This window comes from Homo sapiens, chromosome 3, assembly GCF_000001405.40.
Source record: "Homo sapiens chromosome 3, GRCh38.p14 Primary Assembly".
Lineage (NCBI taxonomy): Eukaryota > Metazoa > Chordata > Mammalia > Primates > Hominidae > Homo > Homo sapiens.
This window is the reverse complement of record NC_000003.12, coordinates 112,182,571-112,204,139: the sequence shown is the minus strand read 5'-3', so window position 1 is coordinate 112,204,139 and position 21,569 is coordinate 112,182,571. Positions and strand designations below refer to the sequence as shown.

General features: G+C 37.1%; 1 protein-coding gene, 1 long non-coding RNA gene and 1 pseudogene across 14 annotated transcripts in view, besides 2 other annotated features; 2 read left to right on the top strand and 1 right to left on the bottom strand.

The window, feature by feature from the left end:
* Window positions 1-21,569, top strand: part of SLC9C1 (solute carrier family 9 member C1) — a 153,319-nt gene that overhangs the window by 90,077 nt on the left and 41,673 nt on the right. For 9 of the 13 annotated variants that reach the window (NR_135297.2, XM_011512718.2, NM_001320531.2 and 6 more), the window contains 3 exons: window positions 1,741-1,890; window positions 3,378-3,429; window positions 4,671-4,819. Coding sequence is in view for 12 of the 13 variants with exons in the window: in XM_011512718.2 (XP_011511020.1) it covers window positions 1,741-1,890; window positions 3,378-3,429; window positions 4,671-4,819 (351 nt within the window). In the remaining variant the exon portion in view is untranslated. Of the gene's footprint in view, window positions 1-1,740; window positions 1,891-3,377; window positions 3,430-4,670; window positions 4,820-5,024; window positions 5,099-6,596; window positions 13,763-21,569 lie in introns of those variants that run through there. The other 4 variants (XM_047448022.1, XM_011512724.2, XM_017006250.2 and 1 more) reach the window with 4 other exon arrangements.
* On the bottom strand, window positions 208-21,174 carry LOC124909407 (uncharacterized). The gene is made up of 2 exons (XR_007096003.1): window positions 16,885-21,174; window positions 208-4,249 (listed from the first exon to the last, which is right to left on the bottom strand). It is a non-coding gene; the product is annotated as an uncharacterized LOC124909407 (long non-coding RNA).
* Window positions 17,756-18,348: an enhancer, noted in NCBI's record as "H3K27ac-H3K4me1 hESC enhancer chr3:111904639-111905231 (GRCh37/hg19 assembly coordinates)". NCBI's record gives its function as "activates a minimal SCP1, AML or CMV promoter by ChIP-STARR-seq in primed H9 embryonic stem cells {active_cell/tissue: H9 hESC(primed)}" and the evidence as "EXISTENCE:reporter gene assay evidence [ECO:0000049][PMID:30033119]".
* Window positions 18,140-18,857, top strand: INAVAP1 (INAVA pseudogene 1; annotated as a pseudogene).
* Window positions 18,349-18,942: an enhancer, noted in NCBI's record as "H3K27ac-H3K4me1 hESC enhancer chr3:111904045-111904638 (GRCh37/hg19 assembly coordinates)". NCBI's record gives its function as "activates a minimal SCP1, AML or CMV promoter by ChIP-STARR-seq in primed H9 embryonic stem cells {active_cell/tissue: H9 hESC(primed)}" and the evidence as "EXISTENCE:reporter gene assay evidence [ECO:0000049][PMID:30033119]".

Sequence of the window (21,569 nt, the reverse complement as noted above, 5' to 3'; positions counted from 1 at the left end):
TTTTATGGTTAACATATTCTGTTGGGTTAATGTTTATATTTTAAATTTTAGCTTCCTTTGGCAAATTAAGTTTCATAACATTTCATATTACAAACATCCCAATTATATTAGGAATTTGTTTAGCATGTGAAAGTATAGACATACTCATCACAACTTTTCCTTTAAATAGACAGCACATGAGAAATTCTATATTAATGCAAGTGTAAGTTAACCTCCATGTAATGTTTATTTTTATAGATATTTGGGGAATAAAAGATGGAAGTTAACAAAACAACCATGCAAACTATTTATAGGGACAAAGAAAATATCCTACATTTATACAAATCAAGGAAAAAATACATATAGTATTATAGAAATATGGTTTCAAAAATAACCTTTGATTGTCTAATAACATGTTTCTATAACAAATATTATGGGTGGTTATTTTCTGTGTGATTATTTCAATGACATGAAACTCACTCCTCCACAAATAAGTATATATATGAATGCAGATATACTCTCTCTTTCCTATCTTTTTCACTATTCATACACAAACAAGATACATGCATATATAAGCACTGTGAGTGATACAGTTAAATAAAACATAGTTTGTATGGAGATAAAACTAATAGAATCTTTACATTTAGATCTTTCTTACACATGCAAGGAATAATTTAAAACATTTTTGCTACTGAGAGGCATAAATCAACTAGGTCAAAGAGTACAGAACCAGTAGTCTGCTTTTTCGGTATTCTAAGGGATCATAAGTAGTGCTAGAGTACAATTTACCTGAGGAAGGCGAGTCTAGTGTATTCCACTGATGAATTAATTCTGATAGGAAGGTATACAGAGCCTAACAAATAGTTCAGATGAAGAAACTAATAAAACAACTTAGAAAAGTTTGTTGATATATTCAGAAAACTCTGAACTATGGTCTTATGTTAAATCACAGGTCCTTGGAATATGAAGATGAATTAGATATTGTCTCTTCCCCTGGAAAGCTTATTGTAGAAGAAAAATCACGAGTAATCTAGATATTGAAATGTTATATGGTAGGATAAGTGCAAAACAGGAGTATGCACAGAATGAGAAAAGACTTCATTTATTAGGTGATACTTGAGCTGAATCTTGAAAGATGAGTGTAAACCCTTTGGAGATTAGTGGCAGGTAGTTGCAGGGTAGAGTATGGAGGTTGTGGAACATAGATAGAAAAACAAAGGGATCAATGAACTCTGCAGAAGCTAGGGGACTGCACAATGGTAGCTGATAACCTGGAGACTTCAACCCTCAGCAAAGAAACAGAGAGAAGTGAAGTTAATTTTGGGGTCTAACAGGCAGTATGGTTGTGGTGGTTTCTCACCTGACCAGACCATCAAGTAGGAGGTGTTATAGGAGATTTAGCATGCAAAAATGGCAGTAATTTAGTCATTTTATGACCTAAGCACAGAAGATTAATTGCATTGTTTTCCAAGAATTGAAACCAGTTGAAAATAGCATCCAATTCTCTATAAGGAAAATAAGTAAAGAATAAAGTCATAAATTTCACATAGGTACCCCCAAATTATTAGTTATAGGGAAATAGCTATAGTCATGAAGTTATAAAGATACCACTAAAAAAATAACAAAGAACCTTGACAGGTTATTGTAGTTACCTTTGAGGGCACTTAATTTCTTATTATTAACTATTTTGATTAAACTAATCAACATATCATAAAATGATATTTGTGCAATTTATATTAATGGAAGTCCTGTTTAATTCAGCTCATAGCACCAAAGTTGCTGCAAATAATAGATAAAAGAATGAGTCATCAGAAGACCTTTTGGTATGGAATACTAAAAGGCTATGTCCAAGGCGAAGCAGACATAATGACCATAATTGATCAGATTACAAGTTCTAAACAGATTAAACAGGTAAGAAAACCTTAAATCCTAAGAAAAGAGTTCACTCAGCCCTCAGTTGCCCTCATCCATCATTTTTTTCTGTTCATATATGCAGATGTCTTTGACTCCTGGTTTTCTAATTCATTTCTTTAAAAACTTAAACTAGGTTACATTTAAATTACTCAAATGCCTCCTTCTGAAATGAACTGTGCCATATTAGCAAGTTACAAGGCTCCTATAAGGCACACTTCTGTCTTTGTGGAGGCTATCACAAAACCCAAGTGCAGTGGTTAGCTTTCTCCCAATGCAAGCTCTAAGATCTGTCAGGCTATGGGTGTGTAAAATAGGAAGTACTGGAAGGTGAGAAGTGAAGGCAGGGTGGAGAAAACAGGGCTTCCTCATAATGCCCAAAAGCTTCTTTCATCTCTCTCTATCCTTGTTTTCTACACATTAAACAGTAAAGGAAATAAAAACAAGTGATTCAGCAAATAGAAAGAAGTAAAGAAAACAATAATTAAAATAGAGGGAAACCTAGTTTGATTTTGTCATTATGCAGATGAGAAAAAGGAGGCCAAGAGAGGTTAAATGATTGTGCCCAAAGTTCCATAGTGAGTAAGCAGGAAAGATAATTCTAAGGCCTAAATTCTAGATATTATTTTTACTTTCTAGATTGAGACAGATTAAAACCGATATGTGCCCATAAGTTTGTCAGCTATGTGGAATGCAATATTTACTTTTCAAGACGATTTAAAACATCTCAATGCTATATTTTATGTGCCCAAAACTTTGTCATTGAGAAACTGAACATTCAATATGTGGTAGAACACAAAAAGTAGTATCTTCCTCTCTTCACCTCCTGCAACTTTAAAACTATTTTCTTATGTTTTATTACCTTTTCTAACCACTGATATTTAGCACTTGAATTTGGAGACACACAGGAGAAAATATGAAAAGACTTGAGTCCCTAAAATATTGTCTTATTATCCCTAATTTCTACTTTCGTTCACCTTGGCCAAAATTTCTAATCCCTTAAGATTGCAAGCCATCCTGGAATCACAAATCTGGGGGCTCTCATAAAGCCGAATGGGAAAGTACCTACCTATGTTCATAAAACATAGACTAAAATCAGTTTACTAGTTTTATGGCTACAATTTTCTGTTGGGCTAATGTTTGTATCTTAAATTTTAGCTCCCTTTGACAAATTAAGTTTTATAACGTTTCATATTACAAACATCCAAATTATATTAGGAATTAATACCATGCCTGCACTTTTCAGAATCATGACTCACCTTCAGATGTCTCAAAATTGGGCTAGGTTATACCTCTTATCTTCTCTATTACTTTAGCTGAAGCAAAAAGTGCTGCGGCACAAAATTCAATTCGAACCCCTGAAAACCTCTTCATCCTACTTCTCTTAAAACTATTAACTTAGGTTAAAAATCCATCAGTTGCAAATGTAAGGACATTTTATAACAGTCTGTTTTTCCAATGGGGATAACATTTCTTTTGTTCCTTAGATGTTATTAAAGCAAGTGATAAGGAATATGGAACATGCTATAAAAGAGCTAGGTAAGTAGCTCTCATCCTATTTAGCATGACCATCTCTTATCATCACCACTTCAGAAAGGCAATGGTTTTCATAACTCGAGCTAATCTTTGAGGAAACCTACTCACTAACAATACTGAAGTGAGTAACCTCAACAATCAATGCAATCTTATTTTCTAGTTGAGATGGAAATAGTGTAATATCGCTTCACACTTTCTCTCTCTGCTTCATGCAACAATGAAGGCCTTTTGATTTCTCTTTAGACAAGTTGGCATGCTATGATTATGTATGTCATTATAGTCTTGTAAATTCCATTTTTTTCCAAACCAGAAATACATGTACCTTCCTGAGTGACACAAGAAAAGAAGTTACGTTTTTCCTCTACTTGCCACAGAGCTGCCATTTAAGGATTTAGGTCTTACATGAGTTGAAATTAGAATACAATCTTGCAGAATCCTGTTATATCTGCTGGGAGGCCCAGTGTCAAACATGGCAATAGCCTATTCTCTGAGTCATGCCAAGTCACGCTCCTGGTGCAGGACAAATCTTAAGAGTGGCACAGTCACAACCCTACAGTACAATGTTCATGTATAGGAGGAGAAGAAAATTTTATACCATGTGGTGAGCTACAAAAGGACACAGCAAACCTGGAGATGAGGTCATTTGAGAGATCTTCTATGACAGGTAGTTACCAAGCCAGATAAGAGGTTATGGTCAAGGAAAAGCCCAAATGTAGACTCTAAGATGAAATTTTCATGGACTTCAGGAATCCAGATGAAATGGGCAGAAGAGCATAAATGTATGAGTCATCTAGATGCACTGGCAGGTTGAGTGGACGATGACCTAAGACGAGTGAAAGGAAGTAATCAGAAGCCGTATTTAATCACAAAATCATCTGTAGTTAAAAATTCTGATTCACACAGAATAAGAAAATGAGTCATGAACTCCAGACATATAGCCCTGAGCAGCCTCCTAGTGTCCAGTGCAGGTAGAAAAGTATACCTGTTAATCCTAGAAACGAAGCTACCTATCCTTCTCCATGGACTTGGGCACAAGTATGAGTGCTGCCAAGAAAACATCCAGCAGAACTCTGGCACTACTAGTGAATTATGATTGATCATAGTGGCCCCTTCAGGAAGAGATACATTTCTCTGTGTTGAGGGCGGTATTCCATGGGTTTAGAACAGAAACTTAGCTTATTGTCCACATAAAACATTTAAAACAATGTTCTTATTTAATCTAAAAATATTTTGTTATTTTTTAGGCTACTTAGAGTATGATCACCCAGAAATTGCTGTCACTGTGAAAACAAAGGAAGAAATTAATGTTATGCTCAATATGGCTACAGAAATTCTTAAGGCTTTTGGCTTAAAAGGAATTATTAGTAAAACTGAAGGTGCTGGAATTAATAAGGTAAGGCAAAATATTTTCAAAGCAAGTATATTTACTTGATACATAATCATTCATGACCTTCAAGGCTACATTTGACTTCTAATACAGGCCATTTCTAAGATAGGAAAATCTCACTTAAAATAATTTTCTGAAGACAAACTCCTATGATAGACAGTTTCCTTCCTGCAGCCCAGGTGGTCAGCTTCTCTTTTTATTTTTGCTACAGGAACAGACCACCTGTTTCTCTGCTTTGCTGTCAAACCAAAAGTCTGATGAATCTATTCGTCATCCTAGATTACAGTGGGTATTATTATGTTTGGGGAATTATCTGTGACACTTAAATAACATTTTTCGTGTAAAACATGATTTATGAGAACACTCAATTGTAGGGTTAGTGTTGACTATATTTCCTTTTCCTAAGTTACATAAATGGTACTATGACATATAAAGGATAGAAAGAATCCCAATTCATTCTGTAAGTACAAACTTGACACCAAAATTGGAAATAGCATAAGAAAAAAAAAGCATAAACCTGTTATACTTGTAAATACACATACAAAATTTCTTAGCATAATAGTAGTGAACTGAATTGGGTAGCATATTAAACGTGTAATATACTTTGTCTCGGTAGGTTTTCTCTCCCCTAACAGCTATGTAACTCACATATTAAGAGATGAAGAAGAAAAACTATTTGATAAAATTTAACCCTCATTAAGAATGTTAATAAAAATCTTAGAAGACTAATAATAGAAGGAACCTCCCTAACTTGATAAATAGTATCTATTAAAAATTTGTAGCAAACTTTGTGTTAGATAGCAAAACATTAAGAGCATTCTTATTAAAGTTAGGAACAAAAGAAGAACGACAAGTGGCATTCCAAGCATTGAATAACTATGCTGGAGGTCTTATCCAAGTCAAGAAAAAAAAGAAAGAAAATTGAAAGATGAAAATTTTGGAAAGAGGAGAAAAGTGCTATTATTTGTTGACTGATTAAAATCTTAAGGAATTAGCTTAAAAGCAGTAGGATTAATAAAATAATTCAATAGAGTCCAGAAATAAAAGTAATATATAAAATTCTTCTCCAATGGAAAAATTTAGAAAAATATTATTATATTTACAATTACAATTAGAAACTCTAAATTCTTATCTATGAACCTAATATAAAATACATAACACCTATGTGGCAAGAACTAAAAAATTCCAACTGAATACATGTTTCTGTAGAGTAGGTATTAATCATTTTCTATAAAGGAAAATATAGTAAATATTTTATATAATGTAGGCCATATGGTTCCTACTAGTAGTACTAAATTCTGCAATTGTAATACCAAAACAACTACAAACAACATGTAAATAAATAGGCAGGGTTGTGTTCCCTACCCCAAAAAAATACTGTTTACAAAAGCAGGTGTTAAGCAGGAGCAGGCCGACAGGCAGTAGTTGCAACCCATGTTGTAGAGAATCAATATCTAAGGCATGAATCATCCATAAAATAATCAGTTAATTTAATAAACCTTAATTAAAATTCACACCATGTCAGGGAGTTAAGGATTTTACTTGTACAATTTATTGCTCAAAAATTAATTTATTAAGAAAATGGTAAGAATTTAGAGGATTCTAGGAAGAAAACAGAGTAGGAAGTTTCAGAAATCTGTCTCTCCTTTTAGACAACAATTGCACTGGCAAAATCTGTCTGATGTAACTATTTTGGAAATCTGAATTCTATGAAGGTTTGCAACTTTCAGGGGAAGGCTTGGATGATAAATTTTGGTTAATTTCTGTCATGTTTATCTCTTAGCACAGTAATAGCTACTCCTCACCCCTCAGCACCATGGCAGGCAGCTATGCATGTGTCCTTGGAGCAACTTACAACTTGCAAGAGCCAGATTGGCAATAAAAGACCCTGTTCTCTAAATATCTTGCATCTGTACTCTGATGACTGATTGATCGCTGTTTCTAATCAGAGAAGGCAAAGAGGTGGAAACCATTGTGATTGCACCTCCTCACATTATTGTAAGCCCTCCCCCTCTGGCTGAAGTGACTTCCAAAGGATTTAAAGGGCCAACACTTTTTTTAACCTCTTTATTTTTGTCTTATTTCTCTTTTGGGAGCCAGACTTTAGAGACTAAGACATTCAAAAACCACCACTTCACAGGTGAAATTAGAAAGTCACAATGCATGCACAGGGGAAGGCACAGGCTCAGAAAAAAAGTAAAATAAAACCCTGACAATGCCTTAAGCTTAGACCTAAGACTAATCCTCAGCTCAGAGACAGACTACAACCACCAAAAAACAAAAACAAAACAGCAAATTCTGGGGAAAAAGGGAGAGTCTGAGTTCCAGAATTACCACATTGTTTAATTCAAATTCAGTTTTTTTTTTTTAAATCACAAGGCATACACAAAAACTGGCAAGTATTGCCCATTCAAAAGAAAAAAATAAAACAACAGAACTGTCCCTAAAAAAGATGGCAGGTCTACCAGACAAAGACTTTAAAACAGTTGTTTTAAAGATGCTCAAAGAACTCAAGGAAGATGTGAGGAAAGTCAGGTAGAAAATACATGAACAAAATGGAAATATCCATAAAGACACAGAAAATCTAAAAAGAAATTCTGGAGCAGAAAAGTAAAAAGTACAATTAAGTACAATAACGAAAATCTAAAAATTTCCTAAGGGGATTCAAAGGCAGATTTGAGTAGGCAGAAAAAAGAATCAGCAAACTTGAGGATAGGTCACTGGAAATTACATGTCTGAGGAACAGAAAGATAAAAAGAATTTTTAAAAGTTAACAGAGCCTAAGGGGCCTGTGGGACACCTGAAGCAGACCAATATATATTGTGGGAGTCCAAGAGAGAGAAGGAAAAAAGACAATATTTGAGAAAATAATGGCCAAAAACTTTTGAAATTTAATGAAAGACATGAATGTAAACATCCAAGAATCTCAACAAATTCCAAGTAGGATGAACACAAACAGAACCACATCTAGACACATTATAATCAAACTGTTAAAAGACAAAAAGAAGTTTTAAGACAACAAGAGAGAAGCAATCCATCACACACAAGGATCCTCAATAAGATTAATAGCAGATTTCTTACCCGAAAACTTGGAGGCCAGAAGCCAGTGAGCTGATATATTCGAAGTGGAAAAAAAAAAAAGTGTCAGCCAAGAATCTTACATTCAGAAAAATTGTACTTCAAATGTAAAGGAAAAATTGAGACATTTCCAGATAAACAAAAGTTTAGGGAGTTTGTTACCTCTAGATCTGCCCTAAAATAAATGCAAAAGGAAGTCCTGCTGGTTAAATGGAAGGACACTAGACAGTAACTCAGAACCTTATAAAGAAATAAGACTCAGTAAAGGTAAATACATAGGGAATTATAAAAGCTAGTATTATTGTAATCATGATGTGTAACTCCACTTTTTGTTTTCTAAATGATTTACGAGAATAATATTTCTACTAAAAACAGTTATTAGTATAAAACTAATATTATTTTAACTTTGGATTGCATTAAAAATATTTCATGTTTTTGGACACACAATGTATAAAGATGTAATACTGTGATATCAACAGCTGGAAGGAGATGGGGATGGAACTGTTGTTAAAGGAATAGAGTTTTTGAATGTTATGGAAGTTAAGTTTGTATAAATTCAAATTATAGTGTTATAGCTCTGGGAGTTCATCTATAATGCCCATGGTAAACACATAAAAAAAGTAGCTAAAATATATACACAGAAATAAATAAGAAAATAACTTAAATGTTTCACTATTTTAAAAAATCAACTTAACACAAAAGACAATAATATAGGACAACAAAGCTACAGATATTTAGAAAAGCTATACAAAAAAAATACAGCAAAATGACAGAAGTAAGTTCCTTCTTATCAGTAATTACTTTAAATGTAAAGGGATTAAACTCTCTAATCAAAGACAGAGATTGGCAGAACAGATCAAAAAACATGATCCAACTATGTGCTTTTTCTTTGAGAAACTGGATCTCTACATGCACAAGAATAAAGTTGGACCCTTAACTAACATCATATACAAAAAATACCTCAAAATAGACCCATGACCTTTATGTAAGACCTAAAACTATAAAACTCTTAGAAGAAAACATGGTTAAAACTTCAAAATATTGGATTTGACAATGATTACTTGGAAATGATGCTTAAGGCACGTGCAGCAAAATAAAATATAGACAAAGTGCACTTCAGGAAAATTTGGAAATTTTGTGTGTGCATCAAAAACCACTATTACAGAGTAAAACGACCCAAAGAATGAGAGGAAATATTTGCAAACCATTTGTCTTATACAAATTAATACCCATAATATATAGAGAACTCATAAAACTAAACAACCTGATTCAAAATGGGCAAAACATTTGAATAGAAATTTCTCCAAAGAAGACACTCAAGTGGCCAATAACAACATGAAAATATAATGAGTTTGACATCATTCATCATTATGGAAATGCAAATCAAAACTACAGTGAGATACCACCACACATCCATTAGGATAGCTACCACCAAAAAAAAAAAAGAAAATATCATTGTTTCGGTGAGGGTGTGGAGAAATTGGAACCCTTGTACACTGTTGTTGGAAAAGTAAAATGATATAACCTCTGTGGGAAACAGTATGGCACTTTCTCAAAAAAGTTAAAATTAGAATTACCATATGATCCAGTAATTCCTTTTCTGGGTATATAGTCAAAAGAATTGAAAGTGGAGTCTCAAGGAGTTATTTGTACACCTACATTCATAGCAACATTATTCACAATAACTAAAATGTAGAAGCCAATTAATTTACAGTGACATAGGCAAGATGGCACACTAGAGGTGCCTGGTACTCATTTCCTTCACCCCTGAAAAGAAAGGACCAAGGCAACAAATTAAAAAAATAAGATTTGGCTGGAATGTTGAGGGGAGAAAACTAAAGCACAGGCAGGGAGTAAAGAAGTACCTGTGGTGATTGGAAAGCCCAGGAAGTCACATGGAGTCACCCTGCTTCTGCAGCCCCATCTCCCCCACGCATATTGGCCTGGAGTCAGAAATAACTTCCCATTTCAGGGAAAAGATAGGCAGAAGATTCCCACTGGCCCCCAATGCCACCACAAGCACCTGCAGTCCTCCCTACAGAAGTATCGCACAGTCTTTCCAAAACCTGAACATTATTTGGGGAGCTGCTGGGAATTCATGAAGCTGCATTACTCCAGATTAGGATCATAAGGTGTGCACGCCCCACTCCCTACCCATCTACTGTGAGCCAAGCTGCTGCACCATGGCACCATCTTGACACCAGAGCCATTTGTGGAGTGTACCCTGCTCATGGGACCAGTTGCTATTGCACCCCTCCAGCCCTGGAGCTGTCTCTTCATTCCACCAAGCCCACATGAATGACTGAATGCCACAAACCCAGTTGTGTGAAACTGGGGCCTAGGATCAGCTGTGGCTCTGGTCCCACATAGCAGGAAAACCAACCCCCACCACCCACAATTCCAGCCAGAGAAACAGTCTTGCAGCCCCATTCAGGACAAAACCTCTGTTGAAATGGCCTAACCACTGTGTCTCTCCTGCAACCAGGAGAGGCCCACAAGCCAGCAAGTAGATAACACACCCCCAGGCTAGCAGAGCAGCTACAAGTGTCCCCACCCAAGACCTGAAAAACAGCCCTGTCCCCACCATTAACCTTATGGACATACCCCTGGCCTGCCCAATGACCCCATGCCATCCCCATACCCAGAGCCTGAGACACAACCCCATGGGCTACCCCCAGCAGACATATTCCTAAGCCAGCAAAGCAGCCTTGTGCCTGTATCCTGTGACCAAGAAAGAGCCCCAAGTTACCCTTCTCAACACAGACATGCCTCTGGCCTGCTGAATGCCCTGCACCAGAACTAAGGGCCTGAGAAACAGCCCCACAAGCCTCTGCTGAAAGATATGCCCCCAATGTAGCTAAGCAGTCTTGTGCCCACATGCCAGACCAGAAAAAAAGCCCATCCAATCCTAGGCAGACCTGCCTCCAAGCCAGCTAAATAGTCGCATGCCCATGCCCCTGGCCAGAGTAACAGACCCATGGCTCCAACCCTAGTGATCCAGACCCCAGGTTAGCTGACATGTCATGTGCATGCATGTGCCCCCAACTTGAGAGGCAGTCCGGCAAGTCTATACCTGGCAAAGCCATGGCATTACCACCACACGCTCTCATAGCTTAGGCCACTGAAACACTTGCAAAATTCACGAGTATGGATTCCAGTTGGAACAAACTACATGGAGACTACACTACTGCATCCACCTAGATCCAAAGCCAATGCATTCTACCCAACCGACACCCCAAGACCTACTCATGCCAATAAGTCTTTCCCTATGAAACCTACTTCATAAAATTCAAAGAGGCAATTGTTCCACCAGATGCATAGAAATTAGTGTAGTGACACATCAAACATGAAAAAGCAAGGAAATATGATACTTCCAGGGGAACACAATAACTCTCTACTAACAGATACACAAAATACCAGAAAAAAATTTTAAAATAATCATGTTAAGAAAACAGTAGGATACAAGAGAATACAGATGGACAGTACACCAAATCAGAAAAACAATTCATGATTCAAGTGAGAAGTTTAACAAAGAACCAGACAGAAATTCTAGAGCTGAGGAATTCAATGAATGAAATAAAAAACACAATTGAGAGCTTCAATAAAGACTAAACCAAGCAGAAAAAATAATTTCTGCACTTGAAGACAAGTCTTCTGAAATAACTCAGGCAGACCAAAAAGAAAGAAAAAAACAAAAACAAAAAAAGAATAGAAACAATAAAAGGTAGACACCACCCAAGTGTCCATTAATAGATGAATGAATGAGCAAAATGTGGTATATACATACAATGGAATTTTATTTAACCTTAAAAAGATAAATCCTGATATATACTACAATATAGATGAATCTTGATGACTTGTGCTAATTGAAATAAGCCAGTCACAAAAATCAAATACTATGTGATTGCATTTATATAAGGTATTTAGAGAATCAAAAGATAGAGAAATGATGGAATTGTAGTTGCCAGGGGCTGGGGAAGTTGAAATGGGGAATTATTGTTTAATGGGTATAGAGTTTCAGTTGTGCAAGATGAAAAGAATTCTGGAGATGGATGGTAGTGATGGTTAAGCAACAGTATGAATGTACTTAATACCAGTGAAAATGAAGGGAGCCTTAGCCATTTAAAATAGTTAAAATAATAAATTTTTATGTTACGTGTATTTTACCACAGTAAAAAAAAAAATGGAAAAAAACAGTGAGAGGGATGTTTGCTCTACTAAATATTAAGACATGCTATAAATCCATAATAATCAAATAGTGAAGAATTAGAATAGAATAAAAAAATTCAAGGAAATAGAGTTGAGTCCAATAGCAAACATAAACACACATGGTAGTCTAATATATAATATTAAGGGACATTGCATATTAGGAAGAAATGATAGATTATTCAATAAATAATTCTGAGATATTTGAAATTCATATGAAAAAATATAACATTAGATCCATACCTCACACCATATAGAAAGAAAAACTTCCAGATGCAATGATGAGTTAACATTGCCAAACTCCTCCAAAAAAGCAAAGAAGGAATACTTCCAAGCCCATTTTATGAGGCTATCATTATTCTGATATCAAAGCCAGATAAGGACAAGAAAATTATAGACCAATATTTCTGATGAACATACCTGCAAATATTCTCAACAAAATATTAACAAACTGAATTCAAAAACACATTGAAAGAATCATTCACCACAATTGGTAAAGTGGGATTTATTTCTGAGATGCAAGGACTGTTTGACATACACAAATCAATAAATGTGATACACCACATTAACAAAATTAAGGATAAAATAATATGATTTTCCCAATTGATATAGAAAAGGCATTTGACAAAATTAAGCACCCTCTCATAATAAAAACTCTCAATAGATTAGGCATAGAGAGAATGTATCTCAACGCAATAAAGGCCAAATATGATAAACCCATTGCTCACATCATCCTCAATGAGGAAAAGTTGAAAAATCAGAGAGAAGAAAAGAAACGTCCTCTCTCCCCACTTATTTTCAACATAGTACTGGAAGTCCTGACCACAGCAGTTAGGCATGAGAAGAAATAAAAAGCATCCTCATAGGAAAGAAAGAAGTGAGACTGTCTCCATTTTCTGATGACATGATCTCATATAGAGAAAACCATCAAAAACTTGTTAGAATTGATAATTGAATTTAGTAAAGTTGTAGGATACAAAGTCAACTATACAAATGTTATAATGAAATACAGAATATATCTATATTCTTGATGTGAGGAAAGCTTTTCTAAACCACTTACAAAGCCATATATATATATGTGTGTGTGTGTGTGTGTGTGTGTGTGTGTGTGTGTTTAAAAAAAGTAAAAATTACTGCATAAAATTTAAAACTTTATATATTGAAATATATTAAAATGAGATTAAAAGCAAACATGGAAAATAACATTTGTAACATGTATTACACACAAAGTACTGATAGCAATAATTCCTAAAAAGTTTATAGAAATCAATTTAAAAAGGGCAAAAAATCCTGGAGAAAGTGAAAAAAGGGTATTAAAAAGTATTTCACAGATATATAAACAAAATTTACAATGAATGTTTGAAAAGATATTTGACATCCCTAATAATCAAAGAATAGAAGTATTTTCTTTAGTAAATAGAAACTAGAGAAATAAAACTAAAGATACAATTTTTTTGCCAATTAAATCAGAAATGATGGGCAAAAACTGTTATTGTTCAATGCTAATTAGGTTATGAGAAAATAGACTTAAATATGGTAGACTAAAATGTAAGTCAGCACAGCCATTCTGGAGGGCAATTTAGAAAATTCAACGGCCATTCATGCTAAAAACTCTCAATAAACTAGGTATTGATGGAATGTATCTCAAAATAATAAGAGCTATTTATGACACACCCACAGCCAGTTATCATACTGAAGGGGCAAAAAATGGAAGCATTCCCTTTGAAAACTGCCACAAGACAGGGATGCCCTCTCTCACCACTCCTATTCAACATAGTGTTAGAAGTTCTGGCCAGGGCAATCAGTCAAGAGAAAGAAATAAAGGGTATTCCATTAGGAAAAGAGGAAGTCAAATTTTCCCTGTTTGCAGATGACATGATTGTATATCTAGAAAACCCCATCGTCTCAGCCCAAAATCTCCTTAAGCTGATAAGCAGCTTCAGCAAAGTCTCGGGATACAAAACCAATGTGCAAAAATCACAAGCATTCATATACACAAATAACAGACAAACAGAGAGCCAAATCGTGGGAGAACTCCCATTCACAATTGCTACAATGAGAATAAAATACCTAGGAATCCAACTTACAAGGGATGTGAAGGACCTCTTCAAGGAGAACTACAAACCACTGCTCAACAAAATAAAAGAGGACACAAACAAATGGAAAAACATTCCATGCTCATGGATAGAAAGAATCAATATCATGAAAATGGCCATACTGCCCAAGGTAATTAATAGATTCAATACCATGCCCATCAAGCTACCAATAACTTTCTTCACAGAATTGGAAAAAATTACTTTAAAGTCCATATGGAACCAAAAAAGAGCCCGCATTGCTAAGACAATCCTAAGCCAAAAGAACAAAGCTGGAGGCATCATGCTACCTGACTTCAAACCATACTACAAGGCTACAGTAACCAAAACAGTATGGTACTGGTACCAAAACAGAGAGATACACCAATGGAACAGAACAACAGAGGCCTCAGAAATAACACTACACATCTACAACCATCTGATCTTTGACAAACCTGAGAAAAACAAGCAATGGGGAAAGGATTCCCTATTTAATAAATGGTGCTGGGAAAACTGGCTGGCCATATGTAGAAAGCTGAAACTGGATCCCTTCCTTACATCTTATACAAAAATTAATTCAAGATGGATTAAAGACTTAAATGTTAGACCTAAAACCATAAAAACTCTAGAAGAAAACCTAGGCAATACCATTAAGGACATAGGCATGGGCAAGGACTTCATGACTAAAACACCAAAAGCAATGGCAACAAAAGCCAAAATTGACAAATGGAATCTAATTAAACTAAAGAGCTTCTGCACAGCAAAAGAAACTACCATCAGAGTGAACAGGCAACTTACAGAATGGGAGAAAATTTTTGCAATCTACCCATCTGACAAAGGGCTAATATCCAGAATCTACAAAGAACTCAAACAAATTTACAAGAAAAAAACAAACAACCCCATCAAAAAGTGGGCAAAGGATATGAACAGACACTTCTCAAGACATTTATGCAGCCAACAGATACATGAAAAAATGCTCATCATCACTAGTCATCAGAGAAATGAAAATCAAAACCACAGTGAGATAACATCTCACACCAGTTAGAATGGCGATCATTAAAAAGTCAGGAAACAACAGATGCTGGAGAGGATGTGGAGAAATAGCAACACTTTTACACTGTTGGTGGGAGTGTAAACTAGTTCAACCATTGTGGAAGACAGTGATGATTCCTCAAGGATCTAGAACCAGAAATATCATTTGACCCAGCCATCCCATTACTGGGTATATACCCAAAGGATTATAAATCATGCTGCTATAAAGACACATGCACACGTATGTTCATTGCAACACTATTCACAATAGCAAAGACTTGGAACCAACCCAAATGTCCATCAATTATAGACTGGATTAAGAAAATGTGGCACATATACACCATGGAATACTATGCAGCCATAAAAAAGGATGAGTTCATGTCCTTTGCAGGGACATGGATGAAGCTGGAAACCATCATTCTCAGCAAACTATTGCAAGGATAGAAAACCAAACGCTGCATGTTCTCACTTATAGGTGGGAATTGAACAATGAGAACACTTGGACACAGGGCGAGGAACATCACCCACCAGGGCCTGTCATGGGGTGAGGGGAGGGGGGAGGGATAGCATTAGGAGAAATACCTAATGTAAATGATGAGTTAATGGGTGCAGCAAACCAACACGGCACAAGTATACCTATGTAACAAACCTGCACGTTGTGCACATGTACCCTAGAACTTAAAATATAATAATAATAAAAAAATTAAAACTTTAAAAATGCATACCTTTAAACCAGCAATTACACCTGTAGGAATCTACAGTTATTCAAGAATAAGCAAAGATATGTGTTCAAACATATATTATAAACAGCCTATATGTCCATCAAGTTGGAGATGGTTATATAAATTGTAGTATGGCCATGCAAGTGTGGTATAGCTGTGCAAGTGCAACATATATGTAAATAAACATATGTAAATAGATGTGGAAACATATATGGAAACATAAATAACATTATATGTAAATAAACAAGAATTTTAAATATCTATATATACTGATATAAAAAATTCACCAAGATACACTATTAGTAGGAAAAAAGTAACCTGTAAAATTATAAGATTTTGTATATATAAGATGGTCATTTTAGATTTTTAAAAATTTCTGTAGATACACCTATCTATGTAATATATTAAAAATAATCTAGACAAATATATGCAAAACTTTTCGTATTGCCCCATGTGGAAGAAGAAATGAGAAGGAAAGAAGGAAAATGAAGGAAGCCTTAGCTATTTATTTTATTTGTATTTTCATCATGCTTGAAACTTTTACTTGGAAGTGTTCTTATATATCACCTATATAATTAGTAAACTAATTTTTTAAAAAATTTTGACTGGTTTCTCAAGTCCCCCAGTTGCCACAATTTTTTTTGAAAGTAACCAAAATAGAATCCTGAAGACACAGTCTCGCTTGATCTTCTATTGGTTACATCATTAACACACAAAGCCTGTGTGCCTTGTACAAATTGAAACCAACTCACCACATTCAATGAAGGTTATTTTTAGTTTAATGCTGATTATACAGTTTAATGGTCCAGTCTGTAATTTCATTTGACCATGGTGAGAAGACCTGTGAAAAGCAGTATCTCCAATGAAGAAGAAACATAAACACTAGATGAAAACCTGCAAAAGCTCATGGTAAAATAACAGAAGGGAGAATAATGAAAGATTAAAATAAATCTTTACTCACTTGATTCTCACAGCAATCTGTCATGTGGATACTATTGTTGTCCCTATTTTATGAGAGAAAAAACTGAAGCACAGAGAGATTAAATAACTTGCACCAAGGTCAGATAGCTAGTAAGTCTGGAGATGTTAATTTAATCCAGGCATTCTGATCCCAGAACTCAGGCTCTTAAACATAACACTATAAAAAGCCCAAAATAGAAAGAGATGTGTGTAAAAAACCTTTTGAACTTAGAAAGCAGGGTCAATATACCTGATCATAAAGAAAGTTTATCTTGCAGAAAACAGAAATAATGAACAGAAGCAATGCCATTTAGAATGCCTTATATAACAATGCTAGGTTAAAGTTAGCAATTTTTCTGTATGAATAATCAATTGATCCAGCATAATTTATGAAAAAGACCATCCTACTCCATTGCACTGTGCTGGAGCCTTTGTCACTATTTAAGCGACTGTGTAGGTGTGGATAAGTTTCTGGACTCTTTTTCTGTTCCATTGTTTTATTTAACCATCATTAAACCAAATCATATTGTCTTGATTACTGAAACTTGTTAAGTTTTCATACATGATTGTGTGTGTCTTCCAGCGTTGTTGTTTTCTTCAAGACTATTTTGACTAATTTTAACATTTTGTATTTTCAAATAAATTTTAAAGGCAGCTTGGAAATTTCTACTAAGTTGGCCTACTGAAATTTCCATTGAGATTCCATTAATCTTGTATATCAATCTAGGGAGAATTGATAACTTTGTGATATTGACTTGATCTACTCACATGATATATCTTCACTTAATTAGGTTTTAATTTTGTTTTAATTGTTTTTGTTTTTTTTCTGTGTAGAGTTCTTATACTATTAAATTCATAAATCTGAACCTTTATCTTATACCATACACAAAAAATCAATTCCAGATAAATTATAGACATAACTGTTAAAGGTAAAACAATAAACTTCTAGAAGGTGACATAAGAGAATTTTCATGATATTGGCATAGGCAGAGATTTCAATAGGATACCAAATTGGATTTTAATAACATTAAAATTAAGAATTTTTCTTCATTAAAAAATTAAGAGAACTAAAAGTCCACAAAAAGGTAGAGGATAATTGCAAGACAAATATTTCCAATGAAGAACTCATATCCAGAATATACAAATCAGTAAGAACAAGACAGAAAGTTCATTTTTTAATGGGCAAAAGATTTGAAAGTGCACTGTGCAGCGGAAGATATTTAAATGGCTAATACACATAAGAAAAGGTGCTAAATACCGCGGGGCCTGGGTCCCAGCCGGCAGCAGAGAGCTGGTCGCCCACCACCCCAAGCTACTGCTGCCGCCTGGCTATTTCCCGGCGGGGCGGTACGTGGTGGTGGCTGAGAGCCCCCTGCCGCCTGGCGAGTGGGAGCTGTGCCGCGCAGTCCCGGGCCCTGCTTACGAGGAGGAGGGCACTCCCCTGCGCTACCAGCGTCTGGTGCCCTCTCGCAGCCGCATCGTGCGGACGCCCTCCCTGAAGGACAGCCCGGCAGGCCGGGGGCTCAGCAAGGCCGCCGTGTCCGAGGAGCTCAAGTGGTGGCACGAGCGTGCACGCCTCCGGAGCACCCGCCCCCACTCACTGGACCGCCAAGGAGCTTTCCGGGTCAGGAGCCTGCCCCTTGGGAGAGAGGGCTTCGGGCGAGCCCTGGGACCCCGGGCACAGGTGCCCACAGTGTGTGTGCTGCGGAGATCGCCTGACGGGGCCCCTGTGCAAGTCTTTGTACCTGAAAAAGGAGAGATCATCAGCCAGGTGTAACTCTGCGCCCCACGCTGGAAAAAACTGTTTCATAGAGGGGCTGGGCTGAGACCCCCCCACCCCTGAGTGCCTCTTTCAGCTTCCCCATCCCCATCGCAGGCCGATGACCTGGAGCTGAGACCTTTTATTATTTTTTTTTTACACGACTTTTTTCAGAAGCCCTGACCTAAGGATTTATATATGTGGATTGTCCTCAATACCCCTGTGATATGATTATGTTTTATCCCCCAGAGTTTGGCCTACTGGACTTAAGGCCTTGCCTGTCTGACTGACAGCCTCTATCTCCTTATATAAGACAAGTGGCAGGGGACGAGTGAAGCAGAGTGGGCCACCTTGGGAGTTCTCCAACACTCTGTGCTCTGGTTCTAAGAAATTCCCTGGGGAACTGCCCCTGGCCCTCCTGTCCCACTATTGCTGGAGGCTGGACATGGTACATACTCATGCACATGACTCTCCCCCATTTCCCAGGTCTCTGGGTACCCCAGCCTGGGCTGGGGGAGAATCTCTTCCCCCTTTCTAATGTGCTCTGTGATGCACACACCAAGTGGTAGGTCAAAGGTCAGTATATCCCGGTGGTGTATTGTCTTGCTAGACCCTGCTATTTTCCTGACCCCCTAAATCCTCTTTAGGGACCCAGTCACTATACCCTGTCTATGCCCTGTGGGCTCCCAGACCCCTGAGCTTTGAGTCAGTGGCATCACGGTTTGTAGCCTCAGGGGGTCCGGCTGGGGGCTGATCCATGCTTGTGGTTAGTGGACAGCAGCCACCCTTTGACAGCTACCTCTGGGCATCTCAAGGGCTTGCAGCCCCACTGCTCCTTCTAACATTTTGTTTGTTTGTTTTTGAGATGGAGTCTCGCTCTGTCGCCCAGGCTGGAATGCAGTAGCAAGATTTCGGCTCACTGCAACCCCCGTCTCCCGGGTTCAAGCGAATCTCCTGCCTCAGCCTTCCGAGTAGCTGGGATTACAGGCAAGCACCACCATGCCTGCTAATTTTTTATTTTTAGTAGAGATGGGGTTTCATCATGTTGGCCAGGCTGGTCTCGAACTCCTGACCTCAAGTGATCCACCTGCCTTGGCCTTTCAAAGTGCTGGGATTACAGGCATGAGCCACCGCACCTGGCCCTTCTAACGTTTTTTCATCATAGTCCCAAAAACCAATACTTTACAAGTGGTTTTGGAAAGGCACCACTTTTGTGGCATGTTCTGGTTGGGAGAGGGAGTCACAGTTCCTACTCCCCCCACCAGCTATGCTTCTGCTCTGAGAAGGTGGTTATTTATACAAACATGGACATACTCACTCCCAAGGGCTGATGAGATGCTGAATTTTCTTTGGGGGCATTCATTAATTGTCCCAGCTGCAGCGACTGGAGCAAGTCTGGAAGCTGCCTGTGCTAAGACCACCCAGCTGTCCCTGGGTTCTCATCCTAGGGCCTTCTTTGCTTCCAGGTCAGGGGACCTGCTTCAATGAGAAAGCAACTGAATTGAGGCTAGGAGAGGTAGGGAGAGCTGAGTTCTGACTTCACCTGTGCAGAACTCTCTGCCCCCATGTTACCTGGACTGGAACAGACTGTGAATATAGCAGAAGGTTCCAAGAACTCTGGTGTCTGACCTAGAAGAGGCACAGTTCTCTCTACTGGAAAGAAAACGATGTAGCCGATTGCACAAGGGTGCCAAGGGAAGACCCAGGATGGCCCATCAAAGGAACCTGGGGGAGGATGCAGGAGGCTGAAGGGATGCACCTGGCATTTCTCTCACTGTGCTCTTACCGCATCAGCAACCCCCAACTTTTGGGCCTACTCTGCCCCCCATGCGTGAATACCCTGCTTGGATGCTGTGCTTTTCCGGTTTGTCTCTAAGCCCCTTTCTCCAGGGCATGTTGGTTTCCCTGGCCTCTCAGTGTCCTAACTGGAGCCCAGAGTGCCTTGTACTGAGCCAGGAGACGGCTGAGCACTGGCCCTCCACACCTAAGCGTCCTTTACATTAACTTATTGGTCTTGTATAACACCTGGTGCCATTGCCAAGTGGCTGTGTCCTCAGCTACAGAGCTGGAATTGTGTGGGGTTTAGTGCTAAATACTTCAATAAAGTCTGTTTTTTGTGATTGGCTGAAAAAAAAAAAAAAAAAAAAAGAAAAGGTGCTAAATATCATTGTCGTAAGCTTGATGCAAATTAAAACCCAAATGAAATACCAATACACAACCACCAGCATACCATTTTTTTTAAATTGACAATACCAAGTGTAGACAACAGGGTGGAACAACGGGAACATTAGAGTAGAAGTGTAAATTGATGTGAGTGCTTTGAAAAAATATTTGGCAGTACCTATTAAAATTGAACATATGCATACTTTATGATCCAGCAATCGGATTAGATAACCATATACTCAATAGAAATATGTACATCTGTACACTATATTCGTAGCGGCATTACTCATAAAAACCCCAAATGAAGCAATCTAAATGTCAATCAACAGTAGATAAATAAAGCTGTGGTATCCATACAACCGAATACTATACAACGATGAAAATAAAATGAATAAATTTTTGCTTTCTGCAACACCATCGATGAATCTCAGAAACAAAATGTTGAGCAAATGAAATCAGACACAAGTACATTCTTTCATTTCATGCCAATAAAGCTGAAAGCCAGAGAAAGCTAAACAATGATGATAGAAGTATAGTAGTTATATTTGGATAGAAGTAATGATTAGAGGAGAACATAAAGGAGGATTCTAGGGTGAAGCAAATGTTTTATTAATCTAGGTGTTGTTACACAGATGTTTTTACTTTGTAATATTCTTTGAGTGAACATTTATGACTTGTACACTTTTTTTTCACATCTGCTATACTTCAGTAAAATGGTTTACTTTAAGAAGCTTATCTATGACTTCAGAATAATGATCATAGGG